At 54.5% G+C, this 26,177-nt stretch overlaps 1 protein-coding gene across 9 annotated transcripts in view, besides 4 other annotated features; it reads right to left on the bottom strand.

The window, feature by feature from the left end:
* The window catches only part of SORCS2 (sortilin related VPS10 domain containing receptor 2), a 550,290-nt gene that overhangs the window by 77,970 nt on the left and 446,143 nt on the right, over window positions 1-26,177 (bottom strand). For all 9 annotated transcript variants that reach the window (XM_005247987.5, XM_011513515.3, XM_011513516.3 and 6 more), the window contains 3 exons: window positions 10,651-10,724; window positions 3,294-3,358; window positions 387-505 (listed from right to left, as the gene is read on the bottom strand). In XM_005247987.5, the coding sequence (XP_005248044.2) occupies window positions 387-505; window positions 3,294-3,358; window positions 10,651-10,724 (258 nt within the window). The remainder of the gene's footprint in view (window positions 1-386; window positions 506-3,293; window positions 3,359-10,650; window positions 10,725-26,177) is intronic.
* Window positions 7,774-8,363: an enhancer, noted in NCBI's record as "H3K4me1 hESC enhancer chr4:7658222-7658811 (GRCh37/hg19 assembly coordinates)". NCBI's record gives its function as "activates a minimal SCP1, AML or CMV promoter by ChIP-STARR-seq in naive H9 embryonic stem cells {active_cell/tissue: H9 hESC(naive)}" and the evidence as "EXISTENCE:reporter gene assay evidence [ECO:0000049][PMID:30033119]".
* Window positions 8,364-8,954: an enhancer, noted in NCBI's record as "H3K27ac-H3K4me1 hESC enhancer chr4:7657631-7658221 (GRCh37/hg19 assembly coordinates)". NCBI's record gives its function as "activates a minimal SCP1, AML or CMV promoter by ChIP-STARR-seq in naive H9 embryonic stem cells {active_cell/tissue: H9 hESC(naive)}" and the evidence as "EXISTENCE:reporter gene assay evidence [ECO:0000049][PMID:30033119]".
* Window positions 11,318-11,908: an enhancer, noted in NCBI's record as "H3K27ac-H3K4me1 hESC enhancer chr4:7654677-7655267 (GRCh37/hg19 assembly coordinates)". NCBI's record gives its function as "activates a minimal SCP1, AML or CMV promoter by ChIP-STARR-seq in primed H9 embryonic stem cells {active_cell/tissue: H9 hESC(primed)}" and the evidence as "EXISTENCE:reporter gene assay evidence [ECO:0000049][PMID:30033119]".
* Window positions 13,090-13,680: an enhancer, noted in NCBI's record as "H3K27ac-H3K4me1 hESC enhancer chr4:7652905-7653495 (GRCh37/hg19 assembly coordinates)". NCBI's record gives its function as "activates a minimal SCP1, AML or CMV promoter by ChIP-STARR-seq in naive and primed H9 embryonic stem cells {active_cell/tissue: H9 hESC(naive and primed)}" and the evidence as "EXISTENCE:reporter gene assay evidence [ECO:0000049][PMID:30033119]".

Genomic DNA, 26,177 nt, shown 5'->3' with positions numbered 1-26,177 from the left:
GTCCTGGTCACAGGGCTGTGGATAGCCGGTGCCTGGTGGCCAAGAGCCGGGACCAGAAGCAGTCCTGGTCAGTTCCAAAGTCACTGATAAAGCCAAATGGGGCTAAATGGGCTTAGGTTTGGGGACCCCGAGTGGCTGGGAGGTTCGTGGTGGCCAGAAGGGAGGTGGAGCCTCAGTGTCCCTGAGCCACAGTTCTGGGCTTGCGAGGGCTTCTGTGGATGGCTGCAGCCACAGCCACGGTCAGAAACCGTGACCTGCGAAGTAGCATTTGAGAGTGAAATACCCGTTTTATTGCCTCTTTTCTGAGCGATGCCATTTTTGCCGCGAACGGGTCATCCGCCACGTCACCTGTTGCCAATTTCCAAAAGCCCCAGAAGCAACCTTACCTTAAAGAAGATGTAATCGTCCTGCACGGTCAGAGACCCGTGGTCAATGGGGCCTGCGAATGGGGCTGTCAGCATCTTCTCGGAGCAATTGTGGATTGCGCAGGTGACGTACCGAAAATCTACAGGAGAGAGGCGCCGACCCAGGCGGTCAGACTCCAGCCGGAGCCAGAGACGGCCCGAGACATGTGCTGGACTCCATCTTCCTCCAATACCGCTGTGGTGTGGCTTCATGGGCTTGAATTCTAAAGGCCACCGTGATGACACCTGCGGCTGAGGGTGTCATCCTCGCTCACTGTGGGCCACCTGCACTCTGACACGAGCTCCTTCAACCCTCAGGAAGGTGTTCGTGCTACTCTGGAGCCTGCCATCCCCTGCAGGAGGGGTCAGCACAGGCGACGGTGGGTACCTCGCCACACCCAGACATGCACGGCCCCCATACCCTCCTGAAGTCTCTCACACCTAAGCAGGGATGGGGGCGGGTGGGGCTCAAGGGTTCTTTTCCCCCAAATTTTAAGCAACTGCTTCTACCCTTTTCCAAATATTTATGGTTGAGCAATACTGAATGCATGCTTTGTCAGGGAGCTGCTAATTTGAAGTTCTTCTGTTTCCCCGGGGCAAATTTATGTGGAGGGGCTAGATCCTGGAGGCCTCAGGAAGCTCTGCGTTCCAGCTTGTGAGCCAGGAGGAAGATTTATCCAAGGGGACCAAGGGAAGGGTGCCTCCTCCTCCTCCTCTTCCTCCTCTTCCTTTTCCTCCTCCTCCTGCCCCCAGCCTTGGGTGACCCGGCAGCATGGAGAATGGTTAAGGGAAGACGTTTAGAAACCAGAAAAGCCCACCCCTAAGCTCAGCCTCAGGTTTCTGCACTGAACAATGGGGTGGGCCCACCTGCCCGGTCTGTTCAGAGGAGGCAGAAGGCAGTGTACACAGAGGGTACGTGGGCAGCAGCACCAGGCCACTGCCAAGCCCTCCTGAGCCACATCCATGTTCCCTTGAAACTGACTGGTGTGCCCGGCACTCAACACTGAACCACTGAACTTCCTGCAGTGGGGCTGCCTGGCTGGAGATGCAGTGAAATGACTAGCTCAGGGGCAGGATCAGTCAACAGTCTACTGACTGACTGACTCACTCACTCACTCACTCAATCACTCACTCACTCATTCATTCACTCAGTCACTCATTCACTCACTCACTTATTCATTCACTCACTCACTTATTCACTCTTCACTCACTCACTTATTCACTCTTCACTCACTCATTCACTCACTCATTCACTCTTCACTCACTCACTCATTCACTCATCACTCATTCACTCACTCACTCTTTCAATTACTCACTCACTTATTCACCCACTCACTCATTCTCTCATTCACTTACTCATTCACTCACTCACTCACTCATTCACCCACTCTTTCACTCAATCATTCCTTCACTCACACACCTATTCACTCATTCACCCACTCACTCATCCACTCACTCGCTCACTCACTCACTCACTCACTCACCTATTCATTCATTCATTCCCTCAATCACTCACTCATTCATCCATCTCACCATGGTCAGGCTCTCAGTGTTCCAGGCCTGGAGCCAACACAACAGACCAGGGCCACCTCTCAGGCTGATGGGTTGTGCGCTGGGTATAGTAGCCCTGATGATAGTGCTTGCCAATTTCTGTGGTATAAACAACCCCACATGGCCATGCAGGAGCCACCTAGATGAAATTGGTGAATATGGAGTTGAAAAGAGCTGTGGACAGTGGGTGCTCATGAGCCAGGGCCAGCTGAAGCTCTGGAAAGGGCAGACAGCTAACCCTGACAACGTGGTGTGATGCGGACAGTGAATCTTTCTCTCTGTAGCACATGTTATTTTGCAATGTTTTGCCCAGTAGGCTACTCAGGGGCAACCCTGGCATCTGGCTAGGTGCTTATTCATTCAGCAGCCTTACTGGGGACACAGGTGATCAGTAGCCCCCACTGGTACTCAAGGAGTTGCAGGCCCTGGAGAGTGCAGAGCTGGGATGGTGGAGCCCAGCAGAGGTGGCTGGCAGGGTGCCTGAGGTCAAAGGTAAGAAATTCAGAAAGGGAGGAGCATTCCCAGCAGGGGTGGTGAGAGGTGCACCAGCTGGGACCTTGTGACCCCAGGCAAACCTGGACTGCCCCTGAGCTGTTGCCCTGGTTATCAACACAGAACGGTAATAGCACTGGCCCCGCCTGCCCAAGTGTGGCAGGGTGGGGGTGGGGGAGGGGGGGGAGGGTGGGGAGCCACACCTAGCAACTGACCCTGCCCCCGAAAGCTTGGCCATGATGACCCCGCGTTGAGGACTCTGCATTCACTTATTTCATATCACTATCCATTTCACAGGCCAGGAGACTGGGGTGACTGGCCTCGGGCCCCGAGGTTGGCCAGCGGCAGGGCTGGGAGCTGATGCCGGCATTTCTGTTTTAATGGGGACACATCCTGGCTCAGGTGATCCTGCACAGAGGATGTCTCTGTGGGGATTCAGCTGCTCTGCCCTCCTCAGAGCACCCTCCTGTCACACAGCATGTACGGCCCTGGGCAGGAAGTTGGCTGGGTCCGGTGTGCACACCCGTGCCCCCACCCCCGCCCCCCACCTCCACACTTAGCACATGCCAGGGGTGGTGGGCTGAGTGAGTGGGAAACACTCAATGCTCAGGAGCCAGAACAAATCGCCCCCTTAATAGACTTTTCCACTGGAGTGGAGCTCCCTGACTTCGATTCCTCCCCAGCTGGAAAACAAGCACATTTAAAATCATGCCACATCGAGACACAGTGAGGCCGGCTGTGTAGGGCCAGCCATTGCGGACAAGCGACTGAACACACGTGCAGCCGAGCTGTGTCGGGTGCGAGGTGACTCAGGGATACCCGGTGCCTGTGCACTGCCCGGCTTACCTCCACCGAGGTCTTGGGCTTCCACGTGGACCAAGTCAGGGTCAGCGTCCACCCCAGACACAGACCTGGAAAAGAAGAGCTGAGGCTGGGGTCGGGAATGGAGTCACCATGCCCGTCCCCCAGCTGCTCCCCACACTCCCTGCAGCCACGTGGCCTCCCTGGTTCTGAAGCCGCCCTTGCTCTGTGGGTCCGGAGGGCATCACCACCCCAGGACCCCACCTGCTCCTGAGGTGCTTGGAGTCTCTGCGTTTTCCTTGAGTGAGCTGAGGGGGTTGGAGTCTCTGCGTTTTCCTTGAGTGAGCTGAGGGGGTTGGAGTCTCTGCATCTTCCTTACGTGAGCTGAGGGGGTTGGGTTTCTTCCTGCCATGGGAGTGTTTGTAAAAGACTTTCTTCTTCATAAAAGACTTTCACGTTGCTTTTTCATTTTTGTTTGTTTTGTTTTATTTTGATCATCTAAAATGACTACAGGAGGCAGGCAGGCCTGGGACTCCCATCCTATCCTAGTTTTATAAATATGGAAACTGTGGCTCAGAGAAGCAAAATGACTCTCCCAGAGCCATACAGTGCTAAGGGCTGACCTGTGATTCAAGCCAGGCTCACCTGAGCTGTTGCTCCGTCTCCTGCTCCCCATGACCTGGTCAAGTGTGGCCTTGGGAAGATTGCTCTCTCAGCCATCAGCCCTCCCCCTGGTGCTGCCTCCAGGGATTTGCCTGAATCCTTTCGTGAGGTGGCGAAGGCTCCAGCAAGAGGAATGCACCCCCTACCCCATCACTCGACAGTTTGCACCAGGCTGTCCCCACACATGGGCCTGGACTGTACATTGTGAGGTAGGTGCCTTCATCTGCATTCATAGGTGACCCCACTAGGGACAGAACGGGTCTGTGACTTGCCTGAGGCAACATGGCTCAGACCAGGGCAGTCTCAGGCTCCTGCCCAGGTCTGCTGGATCCCAAAATGCATGCTCTCCTCAGACCGCACACACTGCCCTGCTCACAACCAAGGCCTTCTCCTAATACCACGAGTCTAGATGTCCCATCTGTTATGGGACTCTGCCTCCTTTGGGGGTGGTCCCAGCTTCAGAGAAGCCGTGAAGGAAATGCAGGAGTTTTGCCAAGTGGCTGAGTTCCATAGATATCTCTAAGAGCCCAGTGGGACAAACCTACGGTGTCCAAGGCCCGCTGCGGGCCTTGGGGACAGAGATAAAGGAGACACTGTAGCTGCCCTGTGGGCTCCTGGGTCAGGACACTCAGGCGGGGGCTGTGGTTCTCCCACTCCACCCTCAATCCACCCACACCTCATCCCTGTCTGACTCCCCTCCCCGTTTCATTGCCCTGCTGGGCGAAGTCTTTAACTGGGCAGGAGGAGAGGGAGGAAGCTTCTGTCTTGAGAGGCAAAAGCCAGGTCCTGAGTCTGTGCTGCACACAGCATGTCACTTGAACTCATTTAATACCTCCATTTGGTGGCAGGTGCTCAGGTACAGGGAACGTCCTAGGTGCTCTAGTTGCCTTATCATACTTATCTTGAATGATCCCGAATGGTTTGATTATACCCATTTTACAGACGAGGAAACCAAGGCCCAGACAGGTGAAAACAGATCAAAGCTCATAAAGCTAGTAGAGCAAGATCCACTACCCAGGTTCTGTCATTTCCAAAGCAACATCTTTTCATCACACAGGTTGTTTCCTAGCTATGCACAGCATTGCGTACCAAATAATACAGTGAAGGGACAGTGGTGGGGGGGAGAAGTACAGCTGCCCCACCCTCAGTCCAGGGTCTCAGCTGGAGTCTACATGTGCCCTGGCCCCTTTGTCCAAGGCTCTTCCCTGTGCTCTCACAGACTGCCCACCTGCATGGGGCTGGCTGGAGGTGGAAAGCCTCGCTTGCCCTCTTGGACACTCTCTCCTGGCTTTTCCAGTAAGTACTCTGGCACCAATTCTGCCTTGAATTTATGCAGTACTCGTCCTCTCAGTGCTGCAGAGGCAGCAATGACAGGGCAAAGGCTGCTGCTCAGGGTTGGCAAGTCTGAAAGCCTCGCCTTTGAGGGACATCCACCCATCCATTCACCACCTGGCTCACAGGGGTTCTGTGAGGGGCCAAGCCTATGAAGCACCTGGAATGAGGCCTGAGACGGGACAGAAGACATGTCCTAGGGTCACGGCTTCATACGCTGGTCCTCCAGGGAAGGCAGGGATGGAGTCCAATTTTGGTGTCATATTCAATATATGCCCAGTGTTGGGCCTGGCTCCCAGGAGGGGAGTACGGATTTTTTTTTTTTCTTTTTTTTTTTTGATGAAAGGAACCTTAGTGAGGACCTGGTCCAGGGTTTCTCAAACCAAGCACCGCATCCCATCTCCCAGATTTCACCATCTCCATGTGCCCACTGAACTGTCATCTACCTGCCACTTTCTTCACACTGAAAACTTCCACCTGCTTTAGCCTTCTGCAAAGCAAGACTCCCTGGGAACTCCTGGATTTGGTGGCTGGTCATGTTTGTTATCACACACATTCCAACTAATATGACTGTTAAAGCCGCTTATCCATTTACCACACCAGTCCCTCTCATGGACACTGCCCAAGAGCAAACTGAGCCTCAAGATGAGGAAGTCACTTCCTGGTATCAGTGGCCACTCAGCGTTGGGGGCAGGAGCACCCACATAGCCTGCTTGCAAGTGGTTGAGATGTCTCAGGCACAGTGCCCAGTCCCCCATGGCCTCTCCCCACCACTGACAGTTTCCCATCCAGACTTGGCCCCGTTCGGTTCCCAACCTTCCTCCCAACCTGCCTGGCACCAGGATCCCCATTTGCCTCACCTTCTCCAGGGACCAGGTCTACCCAAGTGGCCCCAGGTGGACAGGGGAAATCCATAAATGGGTTTGAGTGGCACAGACCCCACATATGTGCCATGTGGCAGGAGCCAGCTGGGACTCCCCTGTAGTCTATTGAGATTTCAAACACAGGGGCACCAGCATCAATCATTTTGACCCTAGTTAAAGAGCTCTCCCTTTCAAGGTGGAGTGTTGATTTCGGCTTTTGTGAATAGACCATTTGTAAGCTCCTTGGAAAGGAGGTCTCAGGCCTGACATTGCTCTCTCCTGAATACAGACAGGCATTGTTCCCTTCAGCAGCAGGCCCTCCACCAGCAATACAGAATTTTAGCCTCATCATCCATCATCTGTGAAGAGGGGCAATGACACCTGGGGCACAGGCTCCCTCTGCCCTCACTCATTCATTCACCCACTCACCCAGTCACAGACTCACTCACTCACCCACTCACTCATTCACTTGCTCAATCACAGACTCATTCACTCACTCACTCATTCTCTCAGTCACTCATTCACTTACTCAGTCACAGACTCACTTATTCATTTAACCACTCAGTCAATCACAGACTCACTCACTCACCCACTCAGTCACTCACTCAGTCACTCACTCAGTCACTCAATCACCGACTCACTCACTTACCCACTCGCTCATTCATTCACTCACTCAGTCACTCATTTGCTCAATCAGACTCACTCATTCACTCACTCAGTCACAGACTCGCTCACTCAGCCACTCAGCCCCTCATTCACTCAATCACAGACTCACTCAGTCACTCATTCACTAATCACTCGTCCACTCACTCGGTCACTTATTCACTCACTCAACCATAGACTCACTCATTCACTCACTCACTCATTCACTCAGTGACTCACTCACTCATTCACTTACTCATTCACTCACTCACTCAGTCACAGACTCACCCACTCACTCATTCACTCACTCACTCATTCACTCACCCAGTCACAGACTCACTCACTCAGCCACTCACTCACTCATTCACTCACAGTCACAGACTCACTCACTCAGCTACTCACTCATTCACTCAATCACAGACTCAGTCACTCATTCACTAATTACTCATTCACTCAGTCACTCATTCACTCACTCACTAACTCATTCAGTGACTCACTCACCCACTCACTCACCCGCTCATTCATTCATTCAGTCAGTTACTTGCTCACTCATTCATTCACTCATTCATTCTTTCACTCAATCACACTCAGCTATTTACTCATTCATTTACTCATTCATTCATTGACTCACCTACTCATTTATTCACTCATTTATTACCTAACTCACCACTCAGTCATTCACTCGTTCATTCCCTCACTCAATCACACACTCAGTTATTTACTCATCCATTTACTCACTCAGTTGTTACTCATTCACTCATTCACTCACTCACCTACTCATTCACTCATTTATTCACTCATTCATTCATTACCTAACTCATCACTCACTGAGCCATTTACTCATTCATTTCCTGAGTCACTCACCCTATAAATTCATTTATTTACCACGTTTGTTCCTTTAGTCTCTTGCTCTGAGCACTTCCCACAGCCATTTCTCAGTGTACTGGCGAAGGCCCTGGGCTAGACACCGGTGTACAGGTGGCCTGAGGCCTGGTGCCTGCTCCAGGCCCCTCAGTCATAGGTTTTGAAGACTCTGTTAGACCGTATTTCTAACAACTCAGATAAAGCCCCACTCCCCGCAGGAAATGGCAAGCCTGACACACAGGACTTCTTGCTTGTTGAGGTCTCCACTGCTTAGAAATGGCAGGCCAGTGAGCTGGCCGGGGGCAGGCGGCCCTCAGGGAGTGAGTGTTTTGGGGAGGTGGGAACTGACTTTCACCCCATTTGTGCTGAGGGCAGCTCCAGTGCAAATGGTTCTGTTAAGCCCAGAAAGGTGTGATCATCAAGGCTGTAGTGGGGAGACCTCCACCTCTTCCTTCTATGGACAGAGGCCCTGCCACCCCCATGCCCTGCACCAGGGCCAGGCCTGGAGCGAATGGAGAGGAAGGCTGAGGCTTTCCCTGGGTGAGCGTGGGGCTGAGCAAGGAGGCAGATGCAGGAACACCCGGTGAAGCCCAAGCGGCCAGACCACCCAGCAGAGTGGGCAAGGGCCCTGGCCACAGCCAGAGGTGGACCGAGTCTCAGGGCCACAGCTTGGGGGCAGCAGGACTTAGAATGTGGGCCCGAGCCTATCCAAGCCTCAGTTCCCTCCTGTGACATGAGACCTAGAATGCGTGCCCGAGCCTCAGTTCTTCCCTGTGACATGAGGGAGACCCGCATGGGCTGCTGTGGGGATGCCGTGGAATGGTGCACTCAGAGCCTCCACGTGCTGCCCAGCGGACACTCAGTATTCAAAGCAGGATGGCTGCGGGGCAGCTGCTGTTATGATTCTGTTCTGGGGCGTGGAGACACTGAGGGCAGGGTGGGGGGCGGGTACCCGCGGCCCTGCCCAGGAGGCAGCAGGTATCAGGGCACCTGGGGCTGCTCCCTCTCGCTTGCAGGCCACTCTAATGAGCTTGCTTGCTGTGTAGCTTCACAAAACGTTAATGAGTCTGAGCTTCAGACAGAACACGGGGCTTTGGCAATTCCCGCTGTCAGTTCAAGGACAAAGAGCTCCTTGGAAATGCTGTCAAAACAGCATTATTCACCGCTTACAAGGGGAGGGGAGATATCCCCACCGCTGTCACCACGCTCCAGGAGAGATCCCAGGGCCGGGGCCGTGGTGGTCAGTGTCTGCTGTGATTCCCTCGAGTAACAGCAGGGAAACTTGGGGGAGGAAACAATTTGATTTGCCTGAGATAATAACACGTTTGAATTATCGCCAATTTCCCTCTGGGCGCTGTGGGTCGGTTTCTTTCTCTGGCTGGAGAGCTGTCCATGAGCCCGGCCTGGCCCGGGAGTGAACAGAGCTCTACCAATCCCCCAGAGCGACCTGGCTCAGAAATCGCACCTCCTGGCTCTGCTCCCCACCTCTGCGAGCGCTCAGGCCCAGGCAGGGCAGCTCTGGCTGCTGACAGTTGACAGCAATGACAAGGCCAGTGATGGATGGCTGTGCTCTGGTTTCCGAGGGAGGAACCGGGCCCTCCCGTGGGCAATCCGCAGACAGACGGCCGTCGCCTCTCCCCATGAGCCAACGGCGTGTACACCAGCCATCGGCATTCCAGAGGAAAAAGGCTTCCTTCAGCCTGTGGGGTGGCCAGGACGCCAGTCTCCTGCCACGGTCAGCGTGACATTACGAAGGGCCCTTGCCCACTCTGCAGCCGCCAACTTGAACCTCTTAATAATATTGTTTTTAATTGGAGCTTTGGAACGGAAGGCTGAGGGGGCAAGAGAGTGTGTGTAGGGCTGATAGCCCGGGCTCCCCTTCCAGCCCTGAGCCCTCGGGACGGGTAGGAAGCCCTTTCCGTGTGTTTTTCTGTTGCGGAGACCAGGCTGTGGCCTGCGCAGGAGGCCCGTGCAATGGTCTGTTCCACACGTGGGATAAGAAAGAGAAAGGCTAGCACTGTGTGTGTGTGTGTGTGTGTGTGTACACGCACAAGAAAGAGGAATGCCATGGAATCAGCACATCAAGGAGCGGTGTAACATGAAAGGCAGTGTGACCAGAAGGACGGGATATGGCCCCAGCAGGAGAGAGGCAGGCCTGAGTTCTGAACGGCTGCACTGGCTCCTGGCCCCATGCTGCTGCCTAAGACCCTGGGCAAGCCCTCATCCTCCACAGCCCTCATAGATGCATCCCACAGACATTTCTCAAGGAAAGCCGAGTGCCCCCCGTGCAGTGAGGCTGGGGTGCTCAGGGGGCACACTGAGAGGCTCCCCTGAGGATGCACTCGAGTGGCTGGTACCCACCATCGGAACACAGGGGCCCCCAGTGGCCCTCTGCCTGGGACAGGAGCCTCCTTTCTCGGGTCTGGCTCCTCAGGAGGCCAGGGTGGGGGCTTGTCTGGGGTACAACCCCAAACTTATCCTGCTCATTGGCACCCAGTAGGGGCTGGGAAGGGTGACAGGCTGAGCAGTGGAAGGGGGGCCCAGGTGTGGATAAGCAGGAGAGCAGGGCTGAGGCAGGCCGGGTCGGCACCCACGGGGTCTGTCAGTCAGGGGCTGAGTCAGGGCCTGGGGTCGGGCAGGGAGTGCGGAGTGGTGGGCCGGGTGCTGCGCTGGGGACATGTGTACATCAGCACCTCTCTCCACTGGGGATGCTGTGAGGCTCGGGGAGGGAACAGCAGTGGCACAGGGCCACATAGCTGGTTCATGGGTAAAAACGTGGCCTGAGGGACACCAACCCCTGGACTCTACGATTTCTGATACCACCCAATGCGGAGCAGGAAGAACGACTGCGGGTTCCCCTGGGATGAGGAGGGTGTGGGGCTGCAGGCAGAGGCAGTGGACGGTGGGGACCCAGCCCCGGGATGGGGAGGGTCCAGAGGAGGAAAGGGAGCTGCAGGGATGGGCTCCCAAGGGTTTGGGGGAAGTGCTCTCACCAGAGCTGCGGGCCCCATGGGTTTGGGGTGGGGAAGTGCTCTCACCAGAACACGTGGTCTTTGGTCACTCGCTCTTGCAGAAGTGTCCACTTTTTCCCCAAGTCAGATGACACGTAGAGCTTTAGGGCAGAAAAAAGAAACAAAAGCTTGGTCAGGACGTCAGGAATAAGCTGCTTCTGAGAGAGGGTGATGTCTTCACCACAGCAGATCCCCCAGGAGAAGTCATCCTTGTCCAGCGGACACGCGGAGGCGCTGTGCTCATGCTGGGATGCAGACCAAACCCCACCGCCTCCAGGAGGAACCATTCCTGTCCCCGGGCCAGCTGGCAGGAGCCAGGAGATGAGGTTCTCCAGGGTGAAATCCAGAGGGGTCTCACAGAGGAGGTGTGTCTGAGCCTCAAAGGTGGGAGGGACTTTATAATCCTGTGTGAGGATGGGAGGAAGGGCGTTTGGGAGGAAGGAGCCACGTGTTGCCAGGGCTGGAGCAGTGAACGGATGGCAGAGCAGGACACAGCAGTGGCCTCGAGCAGGGGTGTGGCATCTACCGCAGGGGTCAGTGCAGGCGCAGGTGGGCTGGGGCCTGACACCAGGGCCAGCCTCACAGCGTATGACCAGTGCCATCGCCCAGGGACCTAGCTCAGAAGGGCCCCACATCTGGGGCTTAATTCTCTGCAGCTGCCAACTTGAACTTCTTAATAATTGTGTCTTTAGGGCCAGGTGCGGTGGCTCACGCCTGTAATCCCAGCACCTTGGGAGGTCGAGGCGGGCGGATCACATGAGGTTGGGAGTTCGAGACCAGCCTGACCAACATGGAGAAACCCCGCCTCTACTAAAAATACAAAATTAGCTGGGCATGGTGGCGCATGCCTGTAATCCCAGCTACTCGGGAGGCTGAGTCAGGAGAATCACTTGAACCCAGGAGGCGGAGGTTGCAGTGAGCCAAGATCACACCACTGCACTCCAGCCCTAGCAACAAGAGCAAAACTCCACCTGAAAAAAAAAATTGTGTCTTTAGTTGGAGCTTTGGAAGTGAAGGCTGAGGGGGCAAGAGAGCATGGGTTGGGCTGATTGCCCAGGCTCCCTCTCCAGCCCTGTGCCCTCGGGAGGGGTTCTCAGCTGCCTGTGCCTGTGGTCCTGTCTCCACACAGTGACCACCACTGTCCTTGTCCCTGGTGAGTGCCAGGGTCAGGCCTGGGCCCAGGAAGGGGCAGGGGTGGGCGCCCAGAGCACTGTCTTGAGGCTGGTCCTGGGGGCCTGGGAGGGTGTCCCTGTGGGCCAGGGAGCACAATGTTAAATGGCTCATAAAGAACATGGTGACAGGCCCAGAGAGAGAGCGCAGAAGAAAGGAAAAGCATTTGACCTGATTGTCAACATTTTTCACTTTGCACTGCACCCTGCAAATCACACAGCTGGCCCTGCCCAAAACCACCAACCAAGGCCGGATAAGATGAGGCGCTCAGGGGGTCCGTGGTCAGACAGCGTTTCAAGTAGCCCACACCAGAGGCTGTGGGTGGAGGCAGGGAGCCCTGAGGAGGCCAGGCCTGGGCCCAGCTGGGGGCAGCAGCAGAATGGAGAGGAGGACAGGGCCTGAGAGAGGCCTGTGCAGGCAGCTGGACAGGTCCTCTGAGGGGTAAGCAGAGCAAAGAGGGTGAGAGGGTTCTTGGATCTGTGCCCCGGAACCTGGGAGGAGTGAATGGGGCCAGGGATACTCAGGGAGCCCACTCCTAGACCTGGGAGGAGTGGGCGGGGTCGGGGGCCCACGGGTCAGTGCCCCAGGTCTGGGAGGAATGAATGGAGCCAGGGGCTCCTTGGGTCAGTGCCCCAGGCCTGGGGAGAAGGGAAGGGGCCAGCTGATCCTCAGGTTCACACCCAGTGCTCTGGCCTGGAGATCTCAGGTAGAGACAGGACCTTGATCAAGCTATGAGTTTTGGAAATGCCAGGTGAAGTTGCCAGGGCCACGGGCAAGGCCCAGAGCCGCTCCCCTTTCCACAGTGGCCCGTGGGAAAGGGCCTCCCCCTCCTTCATGGAAGAGACAGTCCTGGAGGGAGCCGAGATCTCCTCTGGCAGGAGGGAAGCCAGCTCTTGGGCACAGCAGCGTGTCGGGTGGGGAAGGCATCTCTATCAGAGCTCTCCTCTTGGCCACACCAAGCCCCACCATGCCAGGGGGTGGGACTTCATAGTGCCATTCTCCATATGAGAAACTGGTTATGGGTGCTGGCAACGCTACCGCAAATGTGGCATCTTGGAAACCGAGAAAACAGCAGAAGCAGGAAGCCTATTCTCCGCTCCCTTCCCTTTCTTCCCTGAAGCAGCCCCTAAACCGATGAAGGTCACCAAAGCACACCCAGAGAATGTTTCCATGGCCTAAGAAGAATGTGCCTTCCGAGTCCCCGGCTAAGGAATCCAGGAGTGGCCAACCCAGAGATTCACCTCTTACCCATGAGGAACAGGCCCTGGCCCATCCCTTGGAATGCAGGCCCTGCGGGGGTCAAGGCCCTCTGTTCTGGGTTGGGAGGAGGTTGCTAGGGGGAGGGTGCGGAGGGAAAAAGCTACATAAACTGCAGGCTTCTTACAAACTGGAGCGGCTCCCCTGTCCAGCCCACTGCCAGCAGACTGTCCCTGCATGTAACTTCCTCCAATAAACCCTGTGTCTCATTCGCTGTTTCTAGGTCTCTTCTGTGGCCTCTTGGGCACGGTGCCATCCCTTCTGGAGTCAACAGGGGTCTGGCACAGCAACTGGGAAAAGCCTCTGTCCACTCCAGAGGAGATTAACGGGATAGCAGAGGGGCCTTGTGGAGGCAGTCTGTCCTCCTCTTCTCTCTCCAGAGTGGCCAGGCCAATCTCTTAACAGCAATGCCAGGAAGCCTGGGCTCCCATCCTCACCTGGAACCAGCTACCGGGGCAGGCCTCAGTTTTCCCCAGCCATAAAACTGGGCTGACAATCCTCATCCTCACTCAGAAGGTCGGGATGATTCAACCCGATCATGTGCTTTGGAAGTCTAGCCCGTGTCTGACACGCAGCCTATCCACAACACGCGTTTGCCTTTCCCCATCCTGGACAACAGGAGACTCTGTCCCTTTTCCCTTGCCTCTCCTCTGACTCTGGCTCGGTGTTCATTTGCATTTCAATATGTTTCATCCCTAACTCCTAGGTGATGAGTGAACACAGACATCGGGGCTGGGCCAGTGATTCTATAACTGATGTCCCCAGTTCATCTTTGATTTGCGTTATGTTTTTGCCAGCTGCCCCTCTGGGGGTAGGGGCTGTATTGGTGCAATACGGTCCGCACTGCATTTCTCAAGGGAGGATGGACTATGTGGTGTTTAGGGGATCCTTTGCACCCCAGAAGCATCATATGCTGAAGTCCTTGTTATAGAAGCAAAGCTCAGAGCTCACCGTGTTTTGTTGCAGATTCAGGCCTGGGCCAGGAGAGGTCGCTGGCGCCGCCTCACAGGTGCAGCTGATGGAGGAGGCAGGCTGGGCTGGGCTGGGCTGGGCTGGGCTGGGCTGGGCTGGGCTGGGCTGGGCGGGGCGGGGAGAGAGGGCTGGAGAGGGAGGCGGGGACCCGGGTCTGCGGAGCTGGCGTCTGCCTCCCTGTCATGGCCTCTGAGTCAGTTTCTTGCCTCAGTTTCCCCATCTATAAAATGATGCCCCAGCTGTAGTGTTTCAAAGGGGAGCGTCTGTGAGTCTAGGGTTCTTGGGCTCCGGCAGGCCTGGCTCCACTAGCGCCCACCGTGCACAGCAGGAGACCTTGCGTGCGCTCCAACGCTGTTCTGAGCCTCAGTTTCACCACTTCTTAAAATGGGAATCTGGCCTCCCGCTTTGAGGGATGTTGGGGATTATCCAGGCACGCTGCAAAGTGGTTGCACTTGCCACGCACACAGCACGTTCTGTCGCGATCACCGCCTGATAACACCCGTAATAGCAGGATCCGCTCCAGGTGCGAGCACCAGCCGGGCCCTTTGCCTCTCAAGGTGCCCCCACAACATCGCCAGGAAGTAGATGCTTCTAACAATACCTCGTGCAGACGGAAGATGGAGGCTCGCAGCAATTGAGTGATTCACCCAGGGTCACCCCCTGTCAGACCTGCACTTGAATTATCTGTGGTTTGAATGCACTTCTCTTTATTTCTTCTGTGATCAGCATCTGTCTAGAATGAATCATTTGACCACAGCAATTTCCGTCACTGGCCCAGGAAGGAAGGAAGGCTCAAGCCGACCACTCAACCCAAATTCTTCATCTGCATAACGGGCACATCATTCACACTAATAGCCGCCAGGATCAGAGGCCACATCTGCTGGCTCTGAGGGCCGCCACAACTGACTTCTTCTGTGCCGCGTGCTTCTTTTCTGTTCCCACGTGTCCTTGTCACGGGCACCACCTTATGACGAACCAACGACATCATGGATGTCACTGCTGTTGCAGACACCGCTGCCACCACTGCTGTTCACCAAAGAAGGATGTGCAGAATCTCAGAAGGGAAACAGGTCATCAAGCCCAACCCTGTGCAGCCCTGCCTCTCAGCACAGGCAGGTGTGCCCCCTCCTCCTGGAAGCCCGCCTGGGCCTAATCACCCTCTGCTCCTGACCCAGCCTCCAAGCCCAGTGCCCAGGGCCTTTTCCTCCCTGGGTTCCTGTCCTCACCTTCCTGCTGCCATGTCTAATAAGTCACCACGCTTCAGATGCAACTGTGTACCCTGCACCAGCTGCACACTGCACCCCTCTCCACCCAGGGCCATGGCCCAGCTGGGCCACACCATCTCCGTGGACCCCTGCTCTCAGCCCTCGGTCCTGCAGCTGCAGAGCACACCTGGTCCTGCCACTCTCCACGCAGACCTTCCAGGAGAGGTGTGGCCTCCAAAAAAGCCCACACCCTCACATGGGTACACAGCCCCCCCGATACCATTGGACCCCCCTCTGGCTGCCATCCTGCTCACTCCCTGCATGCCCCCACCCCAGGCACGCTCGGCTCAGGGCTCACTCACACATGTGGCACTAATATGTGCACAGGGTCCTCTGAGCATCTGCGCGTGCTGTGCCCCCTGCCTGGAATGCCCTTCCTCATCCCCAGCCGGTGTTCAAGACTCACTTTAAAGTCTCCCCCGGGTCAGGCCTTTGCTAAGGCCGCTGGCTCAGAGGCCCTGCCCCTGCTATTGCAAAGCCAGGGTTAGAGCCCTGTCTGTGAAGTCAGAGTCTGTGCTCAGGGCCCAGGTGCCAGAGAGGACGGGGCTGCAGTGCCTTCGTCCGCCACACCCTCATGTCCTGGTGCCAGTGCCAGCTGGGCTCGGGGGAGGGATCCCCAGGCGTGTCCCCTCATGCTACGCTCAGAACTCTGGTTCTCTGGCCTCTAGCTCCTCAGATCCAGGACATCCTGTGTCACTCAGTCCACTCCCATTGCTCCCTAGGCCTGCCCTGGCACCTGTCCCTGGTTTCTAGCCTCTCTTCCTCTACCACGGCACTCAGTCCACTCCCATTGCTCCCCGGGGCCGCCCTGGTGCCTGTCCCTGGTTTCTAGCCTCTCTTCCTCCACCATGGCAGGTCCAAGCTCACATTCTGAGCTCTCCAACCATGCAGAGGCCAAGCCGCTTGGCAGCCCCCTCACTCCCCGCCCGCCCTCAGTAGACCCAGCAGCTTCTAACCCATCCCTCGTCATCTGCTCTGCGCCCCCATCCTCATCTAGAAAGGAGGCCCCACGAGGGCAGGGGTTGGTCTGTTTTGTTCCCAGCAGTTGCCCCAGCTCCTGAAACCTAGAAGGCCCTCTATAAATACTCCCAGGCAGAGGAAGGCGGGGGCTGAGTCCCAAGGTCGCTGCTGCCTGGGGGTGACATCAGGCCTACTCTGAGGCTCATGCCACACATCCCCCTTCCAGGATCCTCTCCTGCCAGGAAGTGACTCAGTCCCCATTTCTGCCCTGATGACCCCTGACTCCTTGACACCCTCTCCACGGTCACTTCCTCCCTGCACCACCCCCAACTTAGCAGGGCCCAGCAGAAGCTGGCTCCTTTCTCAACCAGCCCTGCTCCTCCAGCCTCCGTGTCTTCCTCCTCCTCCTCCTCCTCCTCCTCTGCGGTCTCAGTAAATGGCCTCCCTCCTTCCCACCATCCACCAGGTCCTGCAACCACAATCCCAGAGGTGCCCGCCACCCCACCTGCCCCACCGTAAGCAGAGCCCTCAGGGGCCGGCACCCCATTCCATCTCAGGCCACCCCACTTCCCCACTCCACCTCGGCTGCTCCTGCCTCCCCTAGTCTCCCATCTCGGAAACTTCAGCGATGAGACACTATGCAAGCTACCGCAGTGAAGCTCAGATGCTCAAGCTGCCAATTAGCCGGTCCTGCAGCAGCAAAGCTTTACCACGGTTCACGCTTCAGAGTCGAGATGAACACACCCGGAGCTCTCATGCAGGCTTCCCATGGCAGGTTCCCTGAGGATGAGCAGATCAGAAGAACCAGCCGAGGGCTGAGCCCACTGCAAGACTGGCCAGGATGTTGCCCAAGGAACCACGGCCAGGAGACTGCAGGTGTGAAACGTAGCAAATCCTGGGTGGCTGGCGACCCCCCTGCCCTCCTCGTCCATATCAGAACTGGATCTTCCTCACACAGCCTTTATTCCCTTACCAAAGTGGATGAATTCCTGAACTCGCCTTGAAAACTACAGACCCCACCACTGTCACAAGGGCAATTGCAGCAAACGTCCCTTCTCTCTTCCCCTCAGCTGAAGAAAAGCAGACAGGGCCCTGCATCATGGAACTGTCCTGGCAAAGGTGTCCCGCCTCCACGGTGTCTTCAGGGATGAAGGCTCCACCCGTGACGCTGACAGTGAGCGGTGAGAAAGGCAGCTGTGAGTGTGGCTGTCTGGTAATACTTTGCGCTCCTGGTACCATGAGTGAAATCATCTCTTTCTCTTCAGCAATCCTGGGAGTTCACGTTGTTAAGCCACCCTCCTTTGCTGCCACATGCATGGAGAAAGCACCCACGATTGCTAAATTGTCTTAAAGAAGGAGGTTGAGAGTCTGTCTTGCTCAGCCCATCTAAACCCTGGCTAACCCCACTCCCACGGTTCCCCAAGCTCAATCATCTGGAATGGGGGTCATTTTGCTCTCTCACCTCCAGGCCTTTGCGCAAGCTGTGTCCTCTGCCTGGAGCATCCCTACTTCCCTCTCGTCCCCTGGCTACCTCCTGTTTTTCGGGACAGCGTCATTCCCAGCTCCACATCTCCACAGGTAAGAGTCCGGGTCTCCCGGCCTGACAGACGAGGCCCTGAGTGGTTGCCCTGGGCCCTGTTCCCACCAAACCCCCTCTGGTGTAGCATAAGTCACACTCCACCAACAGGATGCACCCTGATCCCAAAACGCGCATGTGCCTCCCGCCCCTGGGTTTTTGTCCAGGATGTTCTGTTCACACAGGAAGCTGTATTAGCTGACGTGGGCTTCCGTAACAACGTACCCCAGAGGGCTCAGCTTAAACCACAGAAACAGATTCTCACACCGTTCTGAGGCCAGAAGTCCAAGATCAAGGTATCGGCAGGGTTGGTTTCTCCCTCCTCGGCTTGCAAACGCCGCCTTCTCCCTCGTCTTTATGTGGTCTTCCCTCTGTGCCTGTCTTTTTTTTGTAGTTTGATTTTTTGAAACAGAGTCTTGCTCCATCACCCAGGCTGGAATGCAGTGGTGCAATCATAGCTCTCTGCAGCCCTGAAACTCCTGGGCTCAATCGATCCTCCTGCCTGGGAGTATCAGTGTGCACCACCACTCCCGCCTCTGTCTGTGTCCTGATCTCCTCTTCTTATAAGGACACCAGTCAAATGGGATTGGAGCCCACCCTAATAGTCTAATGATCATTTAAGGGCCCTATCTGTGAATATGGTCACATTCTTTTGTACCAGGGGTTAGAATTTCAACATAGGAATTTTGGGGGACACAATCCAGCCATACGGATGCGTACCTTCCACCCCCACCCCTGAAGTCCTCCCAGCCCAGCCCCGGCTCAGCTGCCTGCATCTTGGCGGCACTGTCCCCAGCCTGCCGGCCCCGTGTGCGCTGTGCGGAGCTCACGCCTGCACAGCTGTTTGCTGACTTCCTTGCGTCCTGGGAGTTTATCTCCTGCTCCTCGGCTAAGCCGCTCACAGCCCGGGGGCACACACCTGCCTCGCTCACCTGCGGCACCAGCGGTAGCCCGGAATCCGTGGCTGCCGGGTGCGCAAGGCCCATTTGCTGACCGAATGAACACGTTTGACTCTAGGGCAGGGGCTGGTAAGTGCATTCTGTAAAGGGCCAGGTAGTAAATATTTTCAGCCGGGTGGGCTGTGTGGTCTCTGTAGCAACCACTCACCACGGCCTTGGGAGCAGGAAGGCAGCCAGGGATAGTGGTGCACAGAGATGGTGTACCATACACCCTGGAGCAGGTGTCAGCAAGCCATGGGCTGTCACCTGGGTTTGTAAACGGAGCTTCACTGGCACACAGCTATGGTAAGAAGCCATCACCTTTCATATTCAGAAAGGACTTTTTAAAGAAAGTTTTCATCCCCTAGAACATAAGCTTCATGAGGGCAAGGAGCTTTTAATAAGCTTGTGGAGCAGTGCCTGGCATGCAGTATGTGTTCAACAAATACCTGCAGCTCCAGCCATTGGTTGTACTTCTTTTTCTGTCTGGGCCTGACAGACAGTGTGAGAGAGCCTGGCAGCAGCTGTGGCCTTTTACGGAGCCAGGCACTGAGCTGTGCTTGTTGAATGCCACCTCACTTCACACTCACACACCCACACACACTCACACACACATGTACACACATACATGCATATACATACTCACAAACACACCCATAAGCTGGCAATTTTCCCTCTTGACAAATGAAAGAACTGAAGCTCAGAGAGGTTAGGTAAGTTACTCAAGGTCACACAGCACTCCCTTATGTCAGCAATTCCCATCTCACAGACTTGAGCTCACAGGACTGTACCAGGGGCTGAGGAGTCACCCTTGCCTTCAAGAAGGATGGTTGGTCACCTCTAGCCCTTTCTCTGGGTCATCCGAGTGACTCAGGCCAGGCACCCTTCTATCTCATGTCTCAGTTTACCATATCAGGAGGGCACTGCTCATACCCACAGTCAATAGATGCCTAAAAAGCGAGTCGTCACCGTGGGTTCCTGTGAGCAAGGTAATAAAGCCTCCACATTAATGGATGGCGTTACCATTGGCATCACTGCCTCATGCGCTTGCGTTTACGACGCCTGCCCTGGAGCTTTATGAAGCCTTTCCAACTCACTCTCCTGGGAGGCGCTTTTACTATCCACCATCAATTGCTGCAGAAATAGAACATTTCTGCTTAATAAAAGACAAACACCAGCAAATAAACAAGAATAAACACATCCGGGACAGCCCAGTTACTGCAGCTGAAACCTGCATGGGTGCATCCTGTGGAAGGGTGAATTTCATCACTCAACATCTCAGAAAGCAGTGGAGGTGGTGAGTGAGGACACGCCTCCCACTCTCATATGAAGATAAAAAGTCAGAGTGAAGCAAGACAGGAGGGAGGGAAAGGAGCAGCTTGAGGGCCCAGGAAGGGCACATAGAAGAGTGTGCCAGTGTCTTCTATGGTTTCTGGAGGTGCTTCGAGTCTGCCCTGGACTCTTAGTGGCAGTTGGATGTGATTGGTGGCACTCAACATGCTTTCATCCCTCACTCCAGGGTGCCTCGTTTCACTGCAGAGGCCTGAAAGCTGCAGCCCAGCATCACTTGGACTCCCTTGCAGCTAGATTTCCAGGTCAGGTGGATGCACTCGTGCCAATTTTGGAAGATGAAAGTGAGGCAGAGACTTTTTCCTGCCCCACTGGGCCATGTCTGCTGCCAGCAAGGTCACAGGACATGGTGCTGTGTCCACCCTCCACCTCTGGAGGGTGGAGACGTGGTGGTGGTGAAGGCAGCAGCTGGACTCCACATTCCGGTGTCCAGTCACTGGCTTTATGGAAGTTACCAGGTGCAGGCTGCAGCAATGGCAACATCAGCTGCACCAGCCACATGTTTTTGAGCTTGATAAGTCTGGGAGGTTCTGGTCCCCACCTTCCTGATGGGCAGAGGTAGAAACTTCCTGGTGGGTCTACACTGCAGGCTTTCAGGAGGCATCCTGGGAAGGGGGGTCTAGTGTAAAACCCTCTCCCTTATCTCCCAACAATTTAGAAAGCACTGATCCCTCCTGTTAAATCCCTTTTCTGCTTACATATCCAGAGGGGAGTATTGTTCCTGCCCTGAGCCCCAGCAGATGAAAATTCTTAGAGCAAAATGAACACATGCTGAGTGAGGGCTTCTCATTGCTAAGAGAATTGTTCTGTTACTCAAGAGATGCCCAATCTTTTCCCTGTTCTCAAGTCTGAGGTCAGAGCGAGCCATCAACGTGGTATCGAAGCTTGTAGCTCTGCTGGGCAGTTCATGAACCTGCTGATATTCACAGCAGCCAACGCGAAGGCTGCACCTCTGTTCACTCAATATTAGGGCTCTCCTCACACCCACTGCCAGCAATTTCTACTATTTCTTTAATATGGATCAATGCAAACACTGCTTTACTTAAGGCTGGGGGACTGTGAGGGTTTTTCTTTTTCTTGTCATATGTGATCATCTTTATTGCCCTGAAGATGTATTACAAATTAAAGATACATTCTGATCCATTCTTTAAGCCCCTGTTCGAACATTCCTCCTCCAGGAAGTCTTCCCTGATTGCCCACCCAAAGGTGTCTTCTCTGCCCTACTAAGTTTCTAAAAGGCAATCCTGGGCTCAGATCAATTTCTCACCATGCTGGGAAGCAGAAGAAGTGCTTGATGGGGAATAAAATTCAATAAAATATAAAAGTGAGTTTATGCTTTTAGAAGTAAGTGCCCAGGGTTCTGCCTCAGCAAGCAGGTCTGAAGACCAGGCACAGAGGAAACAGGCTGGTCAGTTTCATGTCAGCAGCCCCCAGGAAGCTGGCGTGGGAAGGGACTGCTGGGCTCTCACTTCCTACCAATCCCAAGAGCCTACTGCAGTCGGCTGAGCCTTGGAAGAAATGCATATTATGCTGTCACCCAGGAAGGCTGTCCAGGATCCAAGTAAGGCAGACTCACAGTGACCCAAATTATAACGAGGATAAGGGAAGCATTGTAAAGTCATGGAACAGGGCAGTCTGAGGGTAGGTGGATAGGTGTTTGCTGGAGGCAGGGCGGGCGTATGGGAAGGAAGAGGTAGGGAAGGAAAGGGAGGCAAGCCTTTGGCTTTGCACAAATCTGCAAATCCTTAGAGCAGGGCAATTGTGTCCACTCCATTGACTCTGGGCTTGTCATGTGACTTGCTTTGGCCGATGCTGTGTGAGTAGATGTGATGTTTTCCAGGTCAAAGCTGTTATGCTAAAGCTGCTTGTGTGGTTTGCAACCCCTGGAGCCTCTGCCCCCTCATCATGAGAATAGTGTGCTCTCAGCATAAGAGTCGTATGGGGACGCAAACTCCACCAGTAACCAGGAGCCTCATATAGCCAATCGCAGCAAAGCCCAGCAGAGCCTCTGGGCACCCACAGAGCCCCAGGAAGAAGAAATAATGCTTGTTTCTGTAAGCCATTGAGGCTTGGAGCTGTGTGTTACTCAGTATGATTGTTGCAGATACCTGCCTAATACACCAGATTTGTTGGAGTCAAAGCTGACGTTGTTCCACCACACCACCCTGCTTCTTGAGAATTAGCTTTGAAAAACTGCATAGCCTCCTCAAAAACTAAAGCCCTCTTGTCATTGTTATTAATTTCCTCACATTCCTCATTCCTTTTACAACTGCAACTAAGCCTTTTTCTCCCCTTATAGTCACAGAAAAGAACCAAAGCAAATAACTGAGATTTCAGCTCCATTAATTTTTCAGGGCACCATAAATTAGAGAGCAATTGCAATGCAGTCAATTTCTGCGGGAAAATAAGTCTCCGTGATTGTGCTTTAGTCTAATTACATGGAAGGCTAAGTAGTGCTATTAATACCCAGAAGCACAAGCCATCCCCAAGGAAGGGGCCAGGAGCAAAGAGGTAGCCCAGGAGGCTGAGAAATGCAGGGACGCCAGTCAGGGAGGACCCAACCTTGGCAAGGAGGCCAGGTCCTGTCGAGAGCCATGGCAAAGGACAGCCAGGAATCTCCATTTGGAGGTCCCTGACCTGGACTGTCCCTGTTGGTAGAAATTTATCATTCATTCATCTAACCAACCATCCCCATCCATCCACCACCCACCCATCCATCCATTCATCTCCATCCACCCATCCATCCATCTACCCATTCATCCATCCACCATCCACCCATCCATCTACCATCCATCCATTCATCCATCCATCATCTATCCATCCATCTGTCCACACATCCATCCAACCACCCATCCATCCATCCCCATCCATCCACCCACCCACCCATCCATCCATTCATCCCCATCCACCCATCCATCCATCCACCCACCCATCCATCCATCCATCCATCCATCCATCCATCCATCCATTTATCCATCCATCCATCATCTATACATCTATTCATCCATTTATTCATCTGTCCATCCCTCCTCACCCATCCACCCACCCACCCAACCTCGATCTGTCCATCCAACTAATATTTTCAGCCGGGCACTTTAGATTAAAATGGTGAAAAAGACCAGACACTTTCCCTGCCCTCAAAGAGCTTACCCCAATTGCATGTATTGGGTGTAGACAATAATCAAATGACTTCACAAAGATAGAGTTACCTGACATGGTTTGGCTCTGTGTTCCCACCCAAATCTCATCTCAAATTGTAATCCCCACATGTGGAGGGAGGAACCTGGTGGGAAGTGATTGGATCATGGGGCAGTTTCCCCCATGCTGTTCTTGTGTGATAATGAGTGAGTTCTCATGAGATCTGATGGTTTAAAAGTATTTTGCATTTCCCAACTTGTGCTCTCTCTCCTGATGCCTTGTGAAGATGATGCCTGCTTCCCCTTCACCTTCCACCATGACTGTAAGTTTCCTGAGGCCTCCCCACCCATGTGGAACTTTGAGTCAATTAAACCTCTTTCTTCATAAATTAATCAGTCTCAGGTAGTTCTTAATAGCAGTGTGACAATGGGCTAATAGATACCCATTGTGATCAGTGTTGAGAAAGAGAGGCACAGGAATATGGAAGAGTGTGAAATACTGGGGCCCAAGCTGGCCTGCGGTGGCACAGGGAAGGCTGCTGATTTGGGCAGCTTGTGTTTGCCTTCCAGGTCCATGCTGCCTCTTTCCAACCCTTCTCTGACCCTGGGAGCTGACCTACGTAGACAGATCCACCCTTCTCTGGCCCTGAGACTGACCTGTGTAGACAGTTCCACAGCCTCTTTCCTCTAGCCTCTGATTGGATTCCATCTGTGGGAAGCCTCAGTGCATTGGAGAGAGAAAGAGGCATGTGCTATTCCTCTCGTTCCCTGACCAGCCACAGTTTGGCTCAGTTGCTCTACCCAGAGCCAGGCCTCCTACTGGGACCCTTCCTGCAACTGTGGAGCCCACACCTCCTGTTGGGCAGAGGTTCTAGGTTCAGAGTGGCCCCCAAAATGTATCTATGTCCTAATCCTTAGAACCTGGGACCATCACCTCACAGGGCAGAAAGGGAGCCTGCAGTTGGGATTGCTGAGGTCTCCAGATGTGAAGATCACCCCAGGCTATCTGTGTGGGCCCTAAACGAAGGCCCGAGTCCTTACAGAAAGCAGGCGCAGAGGGAGATCTACACACACCCACGCACGTCCACATACACTCACACACTCTCACATACGCTCACATAGGCTCTCTCTCACACACACACACACGCTCATACACACCCACACACTCATGTAGACTCACACACACGATCACACACACTCACCCACACACACTCACACACCCACACACTCATGTACATTCACACATGCTCACATAGGCTCTCACACTCTCACACACCCACACATGCTCATACACACCCACACACTCATGTAGACTCACATGCTCACACACACCCACACATGCTCACATACATACACACTCACATAGGTTCTCACACACACACGCTCATACACACCCATACATGTACACACTCACACTCACATAGGCTCTCACACTCACCCACACATGCCCATACACACCACACACTCATGTACACTCACACTCGCTAACATAGCTTCTTACACACACCTACAAGCACACACTGACATGCTGTTTCACACTCATAAACACACACACTCACACTCTCACACATGCACACTCACGTACACACTCCCACAGACATGCACTTTCACACTCGCACACGTGCTCACATCTACACTCAGATTCACACCCACACTCATTCTCACAAACACAGACATATTCTCACAAACACACACACACCCACAAACACACTTTCACGTGCACACCCATGCACTCATACACGCAATCACACACACCCTCACACCCACACATTTACACACTAAAACACACCCTCACACTCAAACACAACCTCACCCATACATACCCACACACACACACGTTCACACCCACATACACTCATACATTCACAGTCTCACACCCACACCCACTCACAGGTGAACACACATTCACACACAGACACCCACACCCTCACACTCACACACATTTGCACACACTCACATTCATATACACACTCCCACACACCCACACATTCACACGCACATATACACTCACACCCACACTCGCATTCCCACACACATTCACATGCACCCACAGTCACACACATTCACACTAACACCCCCCCACATCCCACAAACCCACACATTCACACCCACCCCCACACACATTCACACCCATTCACACTGACACACCCACACACATGCACTCACACACTTACAAGTGTGCATACACACACACACTTATGCAGTAGGCAGCATGGAGATGGGGCAGAGGAGATTTGAAGCCTGAAGGTGCAGAGATGTGGCCACAGCCAGGAGATACTGGCAGCTGCCAGCAGCTGAGAGAGGCAGGGTTGGACTCCTCCCTAGAGCCCAGGGGGAAGTGCAGCTCCACTGACACTTTGATCTTCGCTGGTTTTGGACTGTGGGCCTCCAGAATTGTGACAGAATAAGTTTCTGTTGCTTAAGCTAGAGCCTGTGGCCATTTGTTCCCACGGCTGCAGAAAAGGAACAAAGTCCTTTCCTACTGGGCCCTCCCCAGCCCCCAGGCCCTCTCCCTCCACAGCCTCAGAACCCAGGTGGGCCCCTCCCTGCAGATGCAGCCCAATGCTCCTCACCAGGCTGGCCCCCCGCTCCCCCACTCACCGGGGGACAAAGCCTCAGTTCCCTGCTGAACCCCATGGACACAGCTCCCAGAGGAGGAGATGCTGATCTGGGGAAGAACAAGCCACCGCTCTTGGCGAGGGGAGAAGAACATTCCACACTGAGGGAAAGGCCTAGTGAGGTCTGATGAGGGTGTGCGCAATGTTCTGGAAGTGGAGAAAGGCCCTTGTGACTGGTGTGCAGAAAGGGATGGCGAGTGGCATGATCCTAATCGCCTGCTACTCACTGGTTCCTCTCTTGAGCCTCTGAGCCTGGTGCACTGCCCACCACCACCTCGCTCAGCTCCCACAGCACAGCCAAGTGGGCACGG

Source organism: Homo sapiens, chromosome 4 (assembly GCF_000001405.40).
Source record: "Homo sapiens chromosome 4, GRCh38.p14 Primary Assembly".
Classification (NCBI taxonomy): domain Eukaryota; kingdom Metazoa; phylum Chordata; class Mammalia; order Primates; family Hominidae; genus Homo; species Homo sapiens.
The sequence above is the reverse complement of the archived record's forward strand: the minus strand, read 5'-3'. Positions and strand labels throughout refer to the sequence as shown.